Raw genomic sequence first — 19,720 nt, 5'->3', positions numbered from 1 at the left:
CAGTGATGAATTCATCTAACTGTGTAGTGTTTAGTTTTCTTTAAGTAAAAAGTTAAATGAGGAATTGAGTGATTTTTCATATGCAGATTTTATTTCTTGATGATTGTGTCTGGCCTCGTGGAGGGACGGAGTGACTTTAGGTGGAATAACTGGATCTGTTTGCTCTTGAGAAGCAGGCGCAAGTCCACGAAGGAAAGGCAGGGAGACAGATGGCTGGCTATTGTGTTACAACCATCATCTGCTGGGCCCTGAGCAAATATTAAGTGAATAATATATATGTAATTGGTGTGAAAGTACAGTTGCAACATTTCTAATATGGTTTGGAGGATGGCTACTTCTTGAACATTTGTGTTTTATAGAATGCTATGTTGAAATGTTTTTGTTTTTAGGGTTAAACCATTTTAAACTGCTTTAAAGTGAACATTTTCCCCCATTTTGACACCACTGTGCAATATTTTGAATTGAAATGGCCTGTAATCGCCCTTTTTTATTTTCCATAACAACATGAGCACTAAATTATAGCTGTGCAATTATGTAAACAATGGAAATGCTTCCAGAACGAATCCTTCCTTTTAAATTTTCATTTTGTGTAATTGTTGGAAGGTTTGGAGCCATAATAAACAAAATTATTTTACACATTTATCGCTCTAAAGGTCAATTATAAGGGAACGAAAGAAACAACACTATGCAAAATGAATAAACCAATTTCTGTTGCCATCACCATATGTTTTTCTTATCACTTATGGTTTTTCCAGTTACTGTGTACATAGCATTCAATTAAAGCGATTCATTTACCAGGCTGAATATGGTTTGTGTTTATAGAACTGTGCTTTGGAGGAGAGGAAACAACACGCCTCTATTTGAATTACCTGATTTTTTGCAAGATCAGTGATAAGAGACAGATGTTCTCACCAGTTACTTTCTCATAACCAGAATCTTTTGATAAGCTACAGATTCACAATTATCATCTTAGTGATCTTTTCACACTCAGTGTATAGTATTCACTTGGACTTTTAACCAGAGCAAGAGAAAAATACTAGTTTGGTGATCTGTTCACTATATTGCAACATTTTGCAGGATGAATTTTAATTTCTTTGAACAAAAGCTTGTGAAAGATCTTTGTCTACGTGTCATATGTTCAACTCTCAAGAATAAACCTCATTTTATTTTAGATTCCATATATCATTGAGCCTATTGTTTAGTTTGTGGTTTAGTCTATTTAACGTGTGAAAAAGAAACTAATTCTTGCTATAAAACTAACTTGAACTTCTTTGTATTAAGTTCTAGAACTCCTTAGAAAAATGAATCCTAGAAAATCTAAAATGATAATTTTCCTGTTTTTCTTTCAGTATTTGCCTTGTAAAACACTATGGCTAATTGCCGTAAAGCTTTGTTAAGGGTGTTGCTTGAAAGCACTAATTTCTAGAGCTTTTGAATTTCTGGGGTAATGTGCGATCTAAGAGGCTTGTTTGTGTGCCACCTTTGAAATGTCTTAAACTATTCTTTCTGTAGATCAGCAAAATAATAGTTCACTGAATTATACAAACTACACCTATAAAGTAAATTTTACAAAGTAAAACTCTTCAGAGTCCTTCTCTTTTTGAAAAATAATTATTTACTTGCTATTCTACTTACTTCTTTATGGCTCTTTTCATTTTACAAAGGCATATGTTCTTATCTCCTATCCCATTACATACAGCTCCGTAAGGGAGTATCATTTCATTTTACGGAAGAGAAGCATGAAGCTCTGGGTATGACATGATCTGCCCACAGTCACACAAGGCTTTGGACCTAGGCCTCATGGCTCAAGTTCTAGAGTTCTTTTCACCACGTCAGAGTGCAGGGCCGTTTCTCACTAGCCATCTCAGTGGAGGCAGCGCTGAATAGCATTGAATCACACAGTAGAAAGGATGGCCCCTTTCCTCCTCTCTGCAGGTCCTTGTGATACTGTTAGGTAGGCCAGCTGGAGTTGAGAGAAGTTATTCTTTCACACCACCCTGACATTGCATTCTGTGCTTATATTCAACAAGGAGAGCTGCTCTCAGACCCAGAGTCTTCATCAGAGGATGGTATTTTTAGCAAAAATTTAGCAGCATTGATTACTGTCATTGTATTACTTGAGTTACTTTTTACTTATGAGAAAGGATACACATAAATTTTTCAGAATAATTGGGCCATTATTCTAAGCGAAGTAACTCGGGAATGGAAAACCAAACATTGTATGTTCTCACTCATAAGTGGGAGCTAAGTTCTGAGTACGCAGAGGCATAAGAATAATACAGTGGACTTTGGGGACTTGGGGGAAAGGGTGGAAGGGGATGAGGGATAAAAGACTACAAATTGGGTATAGTGCTTACTGCTTGGGTGATGGGTGCATCAAAATCTCACAAATCACCACTAAAGAACTTACTCATCTGACCAAATAGCGCCTGTTCCCCAAAAACCTATGGAAATAAAAAAATTAAAACATGAGTCACTTTGAAAAACCTGTTAGGCAAGTAATGTTCACTTTGGACAGGGAGATGGCAAAAGGCATGAGGATTGCACATGAATGACTCATGTCTGAGAGCATCATTCTTTCCCATGTATATATAAAGCCCTGGAGGCTGTGAGGAAGGTTTCAGATTTTTATTATATTTTTCAAAGACTTCTGTTATAGCTGTGTCTTAATGTATGGTGGGGATGGTGAAAGAAGGATTCTACTGAGTTAGAAATGAGTGGGGCATTTTGTGGATGTCCCACTATTGAGAATATGCAGCGGCTCTTCTTTGAGTACCACGTGGTTATTCCTAATTTTAAAATGTTATCACAAAGATACAGTCTTCGAGTTGTTCCACTTCAGTGTGGAGAAGCAACGGAAGCAGGCATATGGCCATAATTTGGCTGACTGGTCATATAGTTCCCTCTTTAACCCCCCCATTTACCCTCCCCCAGTGCTGTCTTTGGCGACTTCACACAGGCGCTGTGTCTCCTCAGGGCGCTGTCTTACGTGGGTGGCAGGGTAGGGTAGGCTAGCCATCTGTTATTTTGCCCTCTCTTTCCAACCTTCTTGCTCATAGTAGCAGGTTCCGTTGAAGTGATTGGCTGAGGTCCAGGGGGTGAGGGAGCCATGTGACTTTATCTCAGCTACATGCCTATCTGCTGTCTTTAGCATCAGTATAGCAACTTAGTCATATTTTTTGAATGCCCCATTTTACAGATTGTTGCCTTTACACATACAAATCTTACAATGCAAAATGGATTCATTTACAAATTGTGGTATTAGCTTGTTAAAGGATTTAGTTCATAATTCCCATAAATTTAGCCTAGAAAAGCATTTTTTAATTAAAACTCTAAATTCCAGTGGTGAAAAGGGGCTTATTTGATTCAAGTATGTGCTAAAGATTTTTAAAGCCCACAAGCTTCAAGGTTTAGTTCCACATCTCAACAGATGGAATTAACACAAGCATAACAAAGTTAACATCATGGTTGTTTGCATTATTAATCTTCAAATGCATGGCATTCTGCTACCTTGCTAGCCAGGTTTGCACGAATCCTTTCATTGCAACATATGTCAACAGAAATGTGCTTCCATCTGCTGCCGGATAGCTTGATGCCTGATATTCCGAGACAAGTCCCAGCACAATGAGTACCTCTGTGAGTAATTACAGGTGTGTGCTGAGGAGCCTAGGGCATTAATCAGAGGCTTAATTATGAAAAAGGTGGATCTTTTGTTCCACTCTTGGATCCTGAGTTTACCACACACTTTCTAAACTGCAGCATCCATCTGCTCGGTCCCTTAGAATGTTTGCCTTGACTGATATGGACCTTAAAGTGTATCAAAGGACGTGATTAAAGCAGGCTTAAACATTAACCTGGAAGAAGCATGGTTCATGTTTTTTTTTCTTCCTTCCTTCCTTTTTCACTTATCTATTTATCTGTTTATTTCTGATGTAGGAAAAAAGTCTGCTGAAATGCTAAAACTTTAAATTAGTACTTGCTAAACTATTTACCATATGTGAACTCTACTGAATTAAGCATTATACAGTAATTTTAAGAATGTAAATATCAAGATTTGTAGAAACTAAGACCCATGTAAAGAAAAAAAAGTCTTAGGAAAAATGGTTTGTGAACACATACAAAGTTTTTTAGGAAGATAAGTTGTTAAATGAGGTAATTTTTATTATGACAGACTGAACATGTTAGAATTTAGCATGTTACTACTGCTTTGCTCTAATGTGATACTGATAGAATTAAATCAGGATTATTTTTAAGGATTTTTTAGATAACCATACTGAAATCTAAGAAAAGAAACTAGGATTTTGTGTGTGTGTGTGTGTGTGTGTGTGGAGATTTTGCTTCTTACTCTTATATTGAGACTATAATAGGTTGTATAACTATAAGTCACGTTACTATAGTATAGTCATGTAACATTTCAGTCAGTGGCAGACCACATATATGATGGTGGTCCTATAAGATTATAGTGCTGTGTTTTTACTGAACCTTTTCTGTGCTAGATGTGGTTTGATATGCAGACAATTTCCATTGTGTTACAATTGCCTACACTATTCGGTATAGTAACATGTTGTGCACATTTGTATCCTGGATGTGTAGTAGGCATCTACCATCTAGGTTTGTGTAAGTCACTCTATGATGTTCACAAGATGATCATAGATTGCCTAACAGCACATTTCTTAGAATGTATCCTCATCATAAAGCGACACGACTGTACTTCAGTGTGTGTTTTGATTAATGTACATGGCCAACAGCTGCATAAGTTTGTGGTTTGTGGTTTTCTTACTAATTCCTGTTACACACACACACACACAAACACGCTTGCACAGATGGCTTCAGAGATGTGGCCTGGCCATGGATGGCATGAATGCTGTCCAGTGGTGGACCCCTGATCTGCCACAGGCAAGAATTAGATATCTGCTTCAGACCAGAGCTGGGGGGTGAGGGGCCATCCAGCCATCAATGAGAGGCCATTACACACACAGGAACACAAGATGTCTGGGGCAGATGATGCTCTTCACACTGCACTCTGTGCAAAAGGCTACTGTTGCACTTTGTACTTGCACTGAGATCACACATATACTCAGAGCCATGCTGTTTCCCTGACCTTAGCATTTCACTGATTACAACGTCACCTTAGCACTCTGCATATTCCCATTTCTGAACACGTAAAACTATCTGAAGAGTGAAATTTTCCATGTCTTTGCCTACTTTAAGATATTTTAATGTAACTGTGCTTTAACTGTGGCCAATTGAAAGCTAAAGACAGGACATTTGTTTTAGTGATAGATATTTGAAGGTTTTAATTACATATTTACCTCATTACTCCTGTAGCTTGTCCAAGGAGCCTACCTTTACACGGAAGACAGATGAAATGTCTAGTCTCAGAGCCATGATTTAGATTTTGGATAATTCATCTTACAGCTTGGGGTCTCCAATCTTACCTTTAAAATGGGTACAGTAATCCTTGGAGTAACTCTGTTTCCAATATCCCTTTCACTGAAAATTTTCTGTAATCTGTGCTCTCTTGGATTATTATACAGTGGTCATATGTACCACTACAAACACTACTTTGGAATTTTGTGTTTGAACATTACGATTGTGTTTTTTCTTATCTTCCCTTTTAGGATATCTTAAATACGATCATAAGGCACTGTCCACCCCGCTTTTTCTCCCTGGGTTTTCCTGGCTTCTCAATGCTGGTGGGGGACTTCATCACGGCCGCTGCCAGGGTCCTTAGCACAGACATTTTGACGGTGAGTATGACAATGCTCAGCATCCCAGCTCCCAAGAGGCTTCACAATCGCTAACAAGGTTCAGATTTCTCCACTCTTAACAGGTGTTGACTCATTAGTGCAATGTGAAACTGGGCTCTCAGGGTAGATACCCTGGCAGCTGATGTGTGAAATTGTAGGATAAGATGACACACTGGTTTTGGAAAGGCGTTTCATCAAAAGGCCAAAGTGTGAGAAATCATATCCTCACTAATATTTCAGCACATTTACACAGTCAGAAGCAGGACTTGTCTCTTAGAATATTATTAGCATTTTCCAGTAAATGGTGACACAGACATAAATGTCTAAAATAGAGAGTTTTAAAATGTACATTAGCAGTAAGTTTTTTTTTGTTTTTAAATTAAGTCTTGGTTATTATAAGTCTCATAGAAAATATTTTCTTAAAATGTTAGAACAGTAAAGTCTTAACTAGAAGTAAATATGTATTCTCTTAATAACATGCCAGAATACTTTGGCAGAATTTTTGTAATAAAAAATTAGAAGTGGACTAAATGATCAGTAAGGGCTACAAAAAAATTATTTTTACTCTCTACATTTACCTCTACTACTAAGGCAGTATCTTTTCTTTTCTTTTTTTGTTGTTGTTTTTCAAGAGATAGGGTCCCATTCATTCTCTGCCCAGGCTGAAGCGCACTGGTGCTGTCATGCCTAGCTCACTGTAACCTCAAACTCCTGAGCTCAAGTGATCCTCCCACCTCAGCCTCCTGAGTAGTTAGGACTGCAGGTACACGCCATTATGCCTGGCTGATTTTTAAATTTTTTGTAGAGATTGGAGTCCCTCCATGTTGCCCAGATTGGTCTCAAACTCCTAGCCTTAAATGATCCTCCTGCCTCAGCCTCCAAAATGTTAGGATTACAGGTGTGAGCCACTGCACATGGCCAAAGCAATATCTTAATGCCTTTTTGAGAGAATACTGTTATACATTTAAAGTTAAAGGGCCTTTTCCATTTGTGCTCTATAAGCTGTTATATATTCAGAGTTATCTTTGCCCCTTCAAATGGTATAAATAAAATTAGCTTTACTATTTGCTAAGCATTGGTGTCGAAATCAGTGTTGCCATCCAACAACCTAAATCTTGTTTGATATGAGATTACTTTTTCACTTATTTCTTCTTTGCAGGGTAAATTCAAACTTCAAGCCCTTGGTTTTAAATTAAATTGTTTAAAATACTTCCTGTAGCTGGTATTTCATGTTGGCGCTTTCACACACTAACTTTTTCTTATAAAGATAAATTAGAAAACAAAGAGAAGTGAAAAGAGACAGGAGCAAAAGAGAAGAAAGGTAAAAGAGAAGAAGAGGCCAGGCATGGTGGCGTATGTATAGTCACAGCTATAGGAGACTCAGGAAGCCAAGGTGGGAGAATCACTTGAGATCAGGAGTTTGAGTTCAGCCTGGGCAGCATAACAAGACCCCATCTCTTAAAAAGAAAAAAAAAAGTAGAAGAAGAAAAATGTTGAATTTGTTCAACTGTGGCTTTATCGTAAATAATTATGACAACTTTTCATACTTCATTATTTCTGAAAAAATTTAGGATAATCTCAAAGAATTTTCAAATGTATTTTAACCATTCACATCATCTTTCAAAAAAATTACAAGATACAAGAAGGGAAATCATACTTCTTTATTGAAATACTCATTTTTTTAAATTATACTTAAGTTCTGGGATACATGTGTAGAACGTGCAAGTTTGTTACATAGGTATACATGTGCCATGGTGGTTTGCTGCACCCATCAACCTGTCACCTACATTAGGTATTTCTCCTAATGCTATCCCTCCCCTTGCCCCCCACCCCCTGACAGGCCCCAGTATGTGATATTCCCCTCGCTGTGTCCATATGTTCTCATTGTTCAGCTCCCACTTATGAGTGAGAATATGCAGTGTTTGGTTTTCTGTTTCTGTGTTAGTCTGCTGAGAATGATGGTTTCCAGCTTCATCCATATCCCTGCAAAGGACACGAACTTACTCTTTTTTGTGGCTGCACAGTATTCCATGGTATATATATGCCACATTTTCTTTATCTAGTCTATTATTGATGGGCATTTGGGTTGGTTCCAAGTCTTTGCTATGGTAAATAGTGCTGCAATAAACATACATGTGCATGTGTCTTTATAGCAGCATGATTTATAATCCTTTGGGTATATTCCCAGTAATGAATGGGATTGCTGGGTCAAATGGTATTTCTAGTTCTAGATCCTTGAGGAATCGCCACCCTGTCTTCCACAACGGTTGAACTAATTTACACTCCCACCAACAGTGTAAAAGCATTCCTATTTCTCCACATCCTCTCCAGCATCTGTTGTTTCCTGACTTTTTTTTTTTTTTTTGAGACAGAGTCTTGCTCTGTCACCCAGTAGCTGGGACTACAGGCACCCGCCACCATGCCCAGCTATTTTTTTTATGTTTTTAGTAGAGATGGAGTTTCACCGTGTTAGCCAGGATGGTCTCAATCTCCTGATCTCGTGATCCTCTTGCCTGGGCCTCCCAAAGTGCTGGGATTACAGGTGTGAGCCACCGTGCCCGGCCTATTGTTTCCTGACTTTTTAATGATTCTAACTGGTGTGAGGTGGTATCTCATTGTGGTTTTGATTTGCATTTCTCTAATGACCAGTGATGATGAGCTTTTTTTCATATGTTTGTTGGCCACATAAGTCTTCTTTTGAGAAGTATCTGTTTATAACCTTCACCCACTTTCATATGGGGTTGTTTGTTTGTTTGTTTTTTCTTTTTTTTACCATATACAGTTTTATTTTTTAATTTATTTTTAATTTTATTTTATTTTTATTATTATACTTTAAGTTCTAGGGTACATGTGCATAATGTGCAGGTTTGTTACATATGTATACATGTGTCATGTTGGTGTGCTGCACCCATTAACTCGTCATTTACATTAGATATATCTCCTAATGCTATCCCTCCCCGCTCCCCCCGCCCCACGACAGGCCGTGGTGTGTGATGTTCCCCTTCCTGTGTCCAAGTGTTCTCATTGTTCAGTTCTCACCTATGAGTGAGAACATGCAGTGTTTGGTTTTTTGTCCTTGCGATAGTTTGCTGAGAATGATGGTTTCCAGCTTCATCCATGTTCCTACAAAGGACATGAACTCATCCTTTTTTATGGCTGCATAGTATTCCATGGTGTATATGTGCCACATTTTCTTAATCCAGTCTGTCATTGATAGGCATTTGGGTTGGTTCCAAGTCTTTGCTATTGTGAATAGTGCCGCTATAAACACACGTGTGCATGTGTCTTTATAGCAGCATGATTTATAATCCTTTGGGTATATACCCAGTGGTTTTTTCTTATAAATTTGTTTAAGTTCCTGCCGGGCTTGGTAGCTCACGCCTGTAATCCCGACACTTTAGGAGGCCGGGGCAGACAGATCATCAGGTCAAGAGATCGAGACCATCCTGGTTAGCACAGTGAAACCCCGCCTCTAATAAAAATAAAAAAAAACTAGCTGGGTGTGGTGGCACATGCCTGTAGTCCCAGCTACTCAGGAGGCTGAGGCAGGAGAATCGCTTGAACCTGGGAGGCGGAGATTGCAGCAAGTCAAGATCGCACCACTGCACTCTAGCCTGGGTGACAGAGCATGACTCCGTCTAAAAAAAAAAAATGGTTTAAGTTCCTTGTAGATTCTGGATATTAGCCCTTTGATGGTTAGATTGCAAAATTTTTCTCCCTTTCTGTAGGTTGCCTGTTCACTCCAATGATAGTTTCTTTTGGTGTGCAGAAACTCTTTAGTTTAATTAGATCCCATTTGTCAATTTTGGCTTTTGTTGCCATTGCTTTTGGTGTTTAGGTCATGAAGTTTTTGCCCATGCCTATGTCCTGAATGGTGTTGCCTAGGTTTTTTTCTAGGGTTTTTATGGTTTTAGGTCTTATGTTTAAATCTTTAATATGTCTTGAGTTAATTTTTGTATAAGGTGTAAAGAAGGGGTCCAGTTTCAGTTTTCTGCATATGGCTAGCCAGTTTTCACATCACCATTTACTAAATAGGGAATCCTTTCCCCATTGCTTGTTTTTGTCAGATTTGTCAAAGATCAGATGGTTGTTGATGTGTGATGTTATTTCTGAGGCCTCTGTTTTGTTCCATTGGTCTATGTGTCTGTTTTGGTACCAGTACCATGCTGTTTTGGTTACTATATCCTTGTAGTAGAGTTTGAAGTCAGGTATCGTGATGCCTCCAGCTTTGTTCTTTTTGCTTAGGATTGTCTTGGCTATATGGGCTCTTTTTTGGTTCCATATGAAATTTAAAGTAGTCTTTTCTAATTCTGTGAGGAAAGTCAATGGTAGCTTGACGGGAATAGCATTGAATCTATAAATTACTTTGGGCAGTATGGCCATTTTCATGATATTGATTCTTCCTATCCATGAGCATGGAATGTTTTTCCATTTGTTTGTGTCCTCTCTTATTTCCTTGAGCAGTGGTTTGTAGTTACCCTTGAAGAGGTCCTTCACATCCCTTGTAAGTTGTATCCCTAGGTATTTTATTCTCTTCGTAGCAGTTGTGAATGGGAGTTCACTCACGATTTGGCTCCCTGCTTGTCTATTATTGGTGTATAGGAATGCTTGTGATTTTTGCACATTGATTTTGTATCCTGAGACTTTGCTGAAGTGTCTTACCAGCTTAAAGAGTTTTTGGGCTGATAAGATCAGGTTTTCTAAATATACAATCATGTCATCTGCAAACAGATAATTTGACTTCCTATTTGAATACCCTTTATTTCTTTATCTTGCCCGATTGCCCTGGCCAGAACTTCCAATACTATGTTCATTATTTACCAAGAGAGTTTCCTGTAAAAATGTTGGAGCCCTTCCTAGAGATAATATCACACATGGTGGTCATTTTCTGTCAGTGTGGCTAGGTGGGCTATTAAAGTAGCCTTACAGATATACAGTTGGCTAATAGTACAGTAGCCCCACTTTATCCTCAGTTTCACTTTCTGATATCAGTTACCACAGTCAGTGGTGGTCCAAAAATATTAAATGGAAGATTCTAGAAATCAGAGCTTTACATTGCACCCCATTCTGAGTAGCATGATGAAACCTTGAGCTGTCCTGGCCCATCCTGCCCGGGACATGGATCATTGCTTTGTCCAGTGGATCCACGTGGTATCTGCTACCCAGCCATTAGTCACTTAGTGGCCATATCTGTTATTAGGTGGACTGTTGTGATATCACAGTGCTTGTGTTCAGGTAATCTTTATTTTACATAATAGCCCCAAAGCACAAGAATGTCATATTGTTATAATTGTTCTATTTCATTATTAGCAGTTATTGCTAATCTCTTACTCTGCCTAATTTATAAATTAAAATTTTTTCATAGGTATGTATGTATTGCAAAAACCATAGTGTATATAGGGTTTGGTACTATCCACAGTTTCAGTCATCCACTGAGGGGGTCTTGGAATGTATCCCCTTTAAATAAGAGGGAACTGCTATGTATGAAAAATGCTCAGGATCACCAGGGAAATGCAAATTAAGATCACAGTGAGATAATTACCTCACACCTGTTAGGATGGCTTTCACCAAAAAGACAAAAGATACGTGTAGGCAAGGATGTGGAGGAAAGAGAACTCTTGTATACGTAAAAAAAAAAAAAAAAAATTCTCCTGACTTTTATTTGAATTCATTATATATTGCCTAGATTGCGATATATAATGCCCATTTATTATTCCATTCCCTCTGTGATCACCAATTACCAAAATAGTGATTCTTCCTTATTTGAGGCCTCTGACAGAAAAAACTAGAATGAGATTTGACATCACAACCAACACATCCCCAAAGACATAGGTTAAAAACATATTGATAAGGATCAATATGTATATTAAAACAGTATGTATATCAAAACATTATGTTGTATATACTTTAAATATATAAATTTTTATTAATTATACTTTAGTAAAGCTGGAAAAAAAGAATCAACACAATAGAGACTACTCAAATCAAAGATGGTATAAAGGTAAATGTAAAGGTCAAATTCACATGAAGTGTTGCCAAGATGGGAAAATAAATAATGAAAGCATAACCAGAACCTGGAAAAACACAAACTAGAAAATGTGGAGGGAAGGAAGTATTGAAATATAAACTTCAAAAAATTCAGAAAGGATGAAATACAAAACCAGCTTGCAATAAAGAAAAAAGTGTTATGTTCTTTGAAACTACAGTAAAAGAGACATGAGTGCCTTATCTTTTAAGCTTTCTGACGGTATCGAATTTGCTTGGTCTTTAGCACATATATCAATGTTATGTAATGTTATATACATTTAACTATCTGCCTGAGGTATGATAGTAGGAATAAATGTTACAGCCATGAATCGATTTTTAATTCTGTTTTCAAATATTGCACATGAGTGTGTGGGTTAGTGAATGGTTGGGTACTGGGTGTGCTAGTCATACCATTTTTCCTACACATCTTCATCCCCGTGTACTACACTTTTGGTGGGAAGGTAAATTGCTGCAGCCATTATGGAAAACAGTATGGAGGTTTCTCAAAAAGTTAAAAATAGAACTACCATATGACCCAGCAATCCCACTTCTGGGTATATATCCAAAGGAACTGAAATCAGTATGTTGAAGAAATATCTGCACTCCCATGTTCAGTGCAGCAGCATTCACAATAGCCAGGATATGAAAGCAACTTAAATGTCTATTGACAGATGAATGGATAAAGGAAATGTGGTACATATCTCCAGTGGAGTGTTATTCAGCCTTTAAAAAATGAAGGAAATTCTGTCATTTGCAACAACATGAATGAACCATTTTTCCAAATGAAAGAAGCCAAGCTCAGAAAGATAAATACTGTGTGGTGTCACTTATATGTGGAATCTAAAAAAGTCCAACTCCTAGAAGCAGATTGTAGAATGGTGGTTCCCAGGGGCTGTGGTTGGGGTAGGGGGAGATGGGATGATGTTTGTCAGTGGATCAAAAGTTTCAGTTATGCCGAATGAATGAGTTCGGGAGATGTCAGCATGGTCACTATAATTAATAATACTATATTATAAACTTGAAATTTGCTAAGAGAGTAGATCTCAAGTGTTCACAACTCACGCATAAAGGAACTATATGAGGTGATATATTAATTCACTTGTTTGTGGTAATCATTTTATAATGTATTTGTGTATCAAAACATGTTGTATATACTTTAAATATACAAATTTTTATTAATTATGCTTTAGTAAAGTTGAAAAAAGAATCAACACAAAATTAATAAAGTAGCCTTCCAAAATGTTTTTTTAAAAAGAGAGAGAATATGAATGAGAATGTGTAAGAGTTACATGAAGGAATCACACTCTGAATGATAGTACTTTCTTGTTTAAACTTGAGGTTAAAATTGTAGAGGAACTGGTGAAAGGTGTTTGGGCTGGAGCACACCTGCTCAGTCAGAATTTTCAGTTAGCACAAGGTAATTACCAGTTTGAAGTACCCCTGCTAGGTAGGACTGCCCCACTGAGGCAGTGGGGGAGGAAGATGCACAGATGGCTCGCACAAGTCACCAAGAGATGAGGAGAAGCTTGTGCACAGCAACATTATTTGTAACAGCCAAAGCCTAGAGCCAATCCAAATGCCCATCAGCAGTAGAACAGTTAAATTATAGTGTGTACATAAGATGGATTATTATATACAATGAAAACACAGGATCGGTTACATAACATAATGAGTGAAAGAAGTCAGACACAAAAGAACATATACTCTAATTTCATTTATTTAATTGAAAAACCAGACAAAACCAATCTGTGGTGTTACAGCAGAATACGGTTACTTTGCAGGAGGGGAGGCTATCATGGGAGGGGCACAAAGAGGACTTCTGTGGGTTGGTAATGATATTCTTCCTGTTGTCTGTCTCTTCGTCCTCAGGGCTCCTACCTCTGTCATCACTTCTCTCTCTCTGCACTCCACAAAGACGCATGCATTCAGTTCCTCTGAACACATGTGAATTGTTATCCCAGACTTTTCTCTCCTAACCTCAGGACAAGCATTTCAAAAAGTCTTCTTCAGAACAGTAATCTCCCCAGATACTTTGGGGGAAAGGGAAGGAAGAAAGCCAGGTTCATAGTCAAATAATTTTGGGAAATACACTTCTTCACTTGGAAATTCACAGTGTACAATAACATGTTAAAGGCTTTTGTTTAATTGTGCTTAGCCAAATGTCTCTGCAACGTCTTTTTCCCGGGAGTCTTTGATTTTGCCCTTTCACAGTCCCTGTGGCCCTAGTGGAACATACTTTGGGAACGACTGCTTCTGACCCTTTCAGCCTCCCATCTCATGGACACCTTCCTCTTCCCTACTCAACTGGCTCCCTCACCCACCGCCAGCCTGCCTGATTTCTACTCTCCTCTGTGGCCCTTAGCAGTAGTTTGTTTTAGGTTTCCTAAACATCCTGAGCAGAACCAATCCTTGCCTCATCCCATGGAATAGCTCTGCTGTGCTTTATATTGCCTTTTATTTACCTGTGTACTTATGGGAACCAAGCTAGGTAAAAAAATGAAGGACTGGGCTCCCATGCTATCCTCAGTATGTTGCTCTCCTAGCAGGTGCTTCACTGAATTGTGTGTAGCTGTTATTTGCCTCTCCTCACCTACCTCACATACTGCGCCTCATCTCTCTGAGGGAGAAAAGCTCTCTTTGATTTTATAGCCCAAGTGCTTAACTGTAGGCTCAGTCTGGACCTGGAGCTAGATGGCCTCAGTTCAAATCCAGGGTGCATCACTTAGGAGCCATATGACACTGAAAAGCTGCTTAACTTCTTTGGCGTCAGTTTTCTCACTGGAAAATGAAAACAGTAGCCTCTTCTTCATTGGGTTGGTGAGGGGACTTTATGAAGAAATGCTTGTACAGCACTTAGAAGAGTGCCTAGCACAGAGTGAGAACTCCTTAAATGTGAGCTTTCATTGTTTTATTACATAATAGTAGACATATAGATGGACAGATAGGTGAGTAGATTGATGACAGACCTGTGTAGTCCCCTATTCTTGGCTAACCATATCTGCTAGTGTTGGCTGAGTTGAAATCTAGTGAAATGCCTTTTTTTTTTTTTTTTTTTTTGAGATGGAGTCTCACTCTGTTGCCTAGGCTGGAGTGCAGTGGCACTGTGTTGGCTACCTGCAACCTCCATCTCCTGGGTTCAAGCAATGCTCCTGCCTCAGCCTCCTGAGTAGCTGGGATTACAGGTGCCCACCACCATGCCTGGCTAATTTTTATATGCTTAGTAGAAAAGAGGTTTCACCATGTTGGCCAGGCTGGTCTCGAACTCCTGACTTCAGGTGATCCACCCGCCTCAGCCTCCCAAAGTGCTGGGATTACAGGTGTGAGCCACCGCACCCAGCCATGCCTTTTAAAATATATACCTAATCCTAACACTGGGCAAATAAAAGTATCTCACTAGATATAGTGATATAGTATCTCATTATATTTTTTCGTAAAGCAGTTCTTGGCAGTAGATGGGAAATTTGATAGTTTGTCTTCTCTTTCTACTCTCCGATAGTTACCTCCATCTCTACTTCCCTATGAATTTTCCTTAATTGTTCTTAACAGCAAAATGGTATTCAGTTGATATCCTTTACCCTGCTTTGTTGAGAACATTAGCAGTAAAACAATGTAAACAGTCATGACAGAGTCATTGGCCTTTCTAATTCTGAATGAATCTGCAGATCAGTTTCCACAACACTTGTTTACATCCAAGTACAGTGATATTTTCCATTACTTAGAAATTTGCTTTTTCATTTAGGCAAACCTCTTTTGCTTAAATATGCACTTGGAAGAGAATAACTCGGCCAAGTTTGGTATTTTTTATCTAGGATGAAGAGTAAAACATGTCACTTATTTAACGTTTCTAACTTACAAAAAGAGAAATGTGTGTGCTCCTCTTCCTTATGTGCAGGCGCCTCGTTCAGAGGCTGTCACTGTCCTCGGCTCTCTGGTCTGCTTTCCAAATACCTACCAGGAGATTCCTTTACTGCAGTCAGTGCCAGAAGTAAATGAGGCCATTACAGGAACTGAAGATGTCAAGGTACATAACGCATTTGACTGTATCTCAAGTTTAGTACTTTTTATAATTCTAGATGTATGATTATCTCTTCCATTAGTGTATATTAATCTGCTTATTCCTGAAGTTTTGCTGTATCTTTTAAATGTTTCAGTAGTTGTTTCTAGAAGACTATTCATGGGCTATGCATGTGTTAAATTCAGAGTATATTGCAGTTAGACCTTATAGCTGTAGCTATAGCAGGTGTTTTTTATTATACCTGTTTATTGGACCTAAGGATCATAATCATGTAGTGAATTGCCCTTTGTAATAATTTTATTAGCTTAACTAACTGCATTAGTGCATCAAGTTAATTTATAAGAAATAATGGAAATAAGCTAAATATTCAATCCCCTTGTTGGCCTGATTAAATACTGCTAATACTTTGAGATTCTAAATTATTTATTGGAGAATAAAAGTAAGCATTTGTTCTCTCCTCAGCTGACTTTGAGGTAAACAAAAATGCTTTTAGAATCCCAGAATCAATCAAACTATAAAACATAATTACAGTATATAATTCAGTGTACAACATATAATTCAATTGAAGTAAAAGAAAACCGAGATTTTCCTATCTGGAAGTCTGATTTGCTTTATACCAGAAGCGCTCTACTCCCGCGGGCTGAATGGCCTAAGGAGGCCCTGTGGAGACCCCCATCTTCTACCACCCGCTCCCCCGAGCCCAGTGTTCTTCTTCCCCCCAGGCTCTCACTCATAGATGAGCTCTCTGAGCTCCCTGGTCGAACTTCAGTAGCTCCTGGCTGCCTGGAACATGGTCAGAACATGTGGGAAACCAACTATGACACAAAGTTTTTATTTTACTTAATTTTGTGTTTTTAGCATTACCTCATAAATATTTTACTGAAGAATGCCACAGAAGAACCAAATGAATATGCAAGGTAAATGTTGAATAAGAGGTAAACTATTTTAGAATTTTAAGATACACATTTATGTGTAAGTAGTTAATGTTACAAAAGAAAACACTTATTCTTTCACATAGCTCTTATACAGACTGAAAAGTCTAGGAAGAATGATGCCAGGAAGATGCTTTGCATGATTATTTAAAAAGATGTCATTATTAAGTAAAAATTGTAAAGTGCAGAAGAGTATATAGTACACTATTTTGTGTGAGAAAAAGCAAGATTACAAATATAATCATGTATCCTCTGATATTTTCAAGAAGAAAGAAAATGAAAATATAAACCAAATATTTATAGAAATGGTGTATGTGTAGGGTAGTGACTCTCAACCAGTGATGATCTTTTACACCAGGAGACATTTGGCAGTGTCTGGAAATATTCTGGCTGCTTCTGCCAGGCATCTGAGGTTGCTAGCAACCTATGATCAAGATATATGAGGTTTTCTGGGCCACTTACGTATTGAAAAGTTTCTGCCTCTCCTCCCAACGTGAAGACCAAAGCTGGGAATGCTAATGGAGGGGAACACCTGTCTCTGATCCTCAATTTCAAACCCCATAAGATCACCAGAAGCCCAGCTCAGCCTCTTACTCCCTCCTAGGAACGGTTCATGTTCTGCTCCCTCTGTAGCCTCATTCCAAGACAGCAGCCCATCATTCATCACTGCCTTACCAGCTATTTGATGATTTTAAGTGTTTTTTCTCTTGTATTTTGTCTAATTTCTTTGGTTATCTTCAGTAGATGGGTTAGTTCAAATTTCCTAGTCTGCTTTTACCAGAAGCTAAACTGATAATAATTTGCAAATATTAAGCTAACATTGCGTTTTTGGATAACCTCAACTTGGTTTATGTGATACCAGACTTGGTTTGGCTAATACTTTGTTCAGGAAAGTTGCTTTTATATTGATGGCCTATAATTTTCCTTCCCCATCCTTCCCTTATCAGGTTTGATTATAATTTTATAAAGTCTCACAAAATAAGTACTATTTCATTTTCTTTAATCAGAAAGAGTTTTTACAAAATTAGAGTTAATATTCTTGAGTATTTAGTAGACCTTGATGGTAAAACTACCTAGGTCTAATATTTTCTTGATGAGAAGATTAACCACTGACTCATTCTCTTCAGTGATTTTAGGACTATTAAGGTTTTCTTCTTCTTCTACTTTTTTTTTTTTGACAGTACTGATAAACCAAACTTTTCTAGGAATTTGCCTGTTTCACCTAAATTTTAAAATATACTGGTATATGAGCTATGAGTTATCTCTATTATCTTTTTTTTTTTTTGAGATGGGGTCTTGCTCTATCGCCCAGGCTGGAGTGCAGTGGCACAATCTCGGCTCACTGCAAACTCCACCTCCCGGGTTCACGCCATTCTCCTGCCTCAGCCTCCCGAGTAGCTGGGACTACAGGCGCCTGCCACCATGCCCGGCTAATTTTTTTGTATTTTTAGTAGAGACGGGATTTCACCGTGTTAGCCAGGATGGTCTCAATCTCCTGACTTCGTGATCTGCCTGCCTCAGCCTCCCAAAGTGCTGGGATTACAGGCATGAGCTACTGCGCCCAGCCATCTCTATTATCTTTTATCTCTTTCACTTCTATGGTTACATCCACTTTTTAATCTCTGACACGTTTTGTGTATCCTCTGATTTTTTAATTAGTCTTGCCAAAAATTTGTCAATTTTATTAGTCTTTTCAAAGACTAGGCTTTTGTCTTTGTTCAACTTCTCTATTTTATATTTGCTTTTATTTGCCACTGTCTGCTCTTTTCTATCCTTCCTTTTACTTTCTTTACAATCTTACCTTTAAGGTTATATATTTAGTATATTAATTTCTCCTGCACAGATATAAACATTTAAGACTATATTTTTATTGCTAGTTACTACTTTGTCTGAATTCTATAGGTATCTTTTTTTACTGATGTCTTACTTAATTGCATTGTGGATCAAAATGTCTTACAGCAGTCTTTGAAATTGTTGAAATTTGCTTAATGACCCACTAGGTAGTCAGTTTTTGTCAGTATCCCATATAAACCTGAAAAAAATGAATGCCCAGTTCTTTGTTGGGCATAGTCTTCTAATTGTGTTTATTAAATTTTTTTACTACTGGGCTTCAAATATTCTGTATCCTGTCTGATTTTTTTCATCAGCTTGATCACCTTCTGGAAGAAAAATGTTAAAATCTCCTGCTATTATGGTGTGTTTATGTATTTCTCCTTATATACTGTCAAATTTTGCTTTATATATTTTGAGGCTATGTGATTAGTTGCGTAAAAGTTTAGAATTGTCCTATATAGTGAATCAAATATTTTACATGTTTGTAGTGACTCTTTATTTCTAAGGAGGATTTTTTTTTATCTTAAAGACCACTGGTTTAGTTAAATAATACTTTCTATTCTTTTTAATTAACCTTTTTATAGTCTTCTTTTAGATGTCTATGCAAAAACTGTATATATCCAGATTTTGTAATTTTATCCCATCCCACCTTTATTTTTTAACTGAAGCTTTAGATTCATTTTCGTTTGTTATAATTACTGATCTGTTTGGATGTACTTCTCTTATCATATGTTATACTTTATTTTTAATAGGAAAGAAAGATCCTATTAAAAATAAGGTATAATATTTCTTTTATTTCTCCTTTATCTTGCCTTCATTTCCCCATCCCATTTTTCTTTCTTTCTTTCTTCTTTTTTTTTTGGATTTTTTTTCCATTCTATTTATTATCTCAGTTGTTTTTAAATCATAGGCTCCCTTTCCTTCTTTTAGAGGTTCTACTAGGTATTTGAACATGCATACTTACCAAGCCTGCAGCTAGTCTCTCGTTACTCTTTTCCTGAATAGTGCATGTTCCTCAGAACATAATTCCCTAATTTTGCTCCTGCCTCACTGAACTTTCTCCTTTCTGTCCCTTTTGCTGACCTCTCCTCCTCTACCTAATCTCTGATGAATGTTAGAGTGACGCAGGGCTTAGGGCTGGGCCTATTCTCTCTATGACTTCC

At 37.7% G+C, this 19,720-nt stretch overlaps 1 protein-coding gene across 21 annotated transcripts in view, besides 1 other annotated feature; it reads left to right on the top strand.

Annotated features, from left to right (window-relative positions):
• The window catches only part of RALGAPA2 (Ral GTPase activating protein catalytic subunit alpha 2), a 323,115-nt gene that overhangs the window by 160,191 nt on the left and 143,204 nt on the right, over positions 1–19,720 (top strand). For 20 of the 21 annotated variants that reach the window (XR_007067471.1, XR_937111.3, XR_007067470.1 and 17 more), the window contains 3 exons: positions 5,622–5,750; positions 15,670–15,798; positions 16,651–16,709. Coding sequence is in view for 13 of the 21 variants with exons in the window: in XM_011529310.3 (XP_011527612.1) it covers positions 5,622–5,750; positions 15,670–15,798; positions 16,651–16,709 (317 nt within the window). In the remaining 8 variants the exon portion in view is untranslated. The remainder of the gene's footprint in view (positions 1–5,621; positions 5,751–15,669; positions 15,799–16,650; positions 16,710–19,720) is intronic. The other variant, XR_937114.3, reaches the window with a different exon arrangement.
• Positions 4,705–4,834: an enhancer, noted in NCBI's record as "active region_17612". NCBI's record gives its function as "activates an Ori minimal core promoter by ATAC-STARR-seq in GM12878 lymphoblastoid cells {active_cell/tissue: GM12878}" and the evidence as "EXISTENCE:reporter gene assay evidence [ECO:0000049][PMID:35858748]".

The sequence above is a fragment of the Homo sapiens genome, chromosome 20 (genome assembly GCF_000001405.40).
Source record: "Homo sapiens chromosome 20, GRCh38.p14 Primary Assembly".
Taxonomy (NCBI): Eukaryota; Metazoa; Chordata; class Mammalia; order Primates; family Hominidae; genus Homo; species Homo sapiens.
This window is presented reverse-complemented; position numbering and strand designations above follow the sequence as displayed.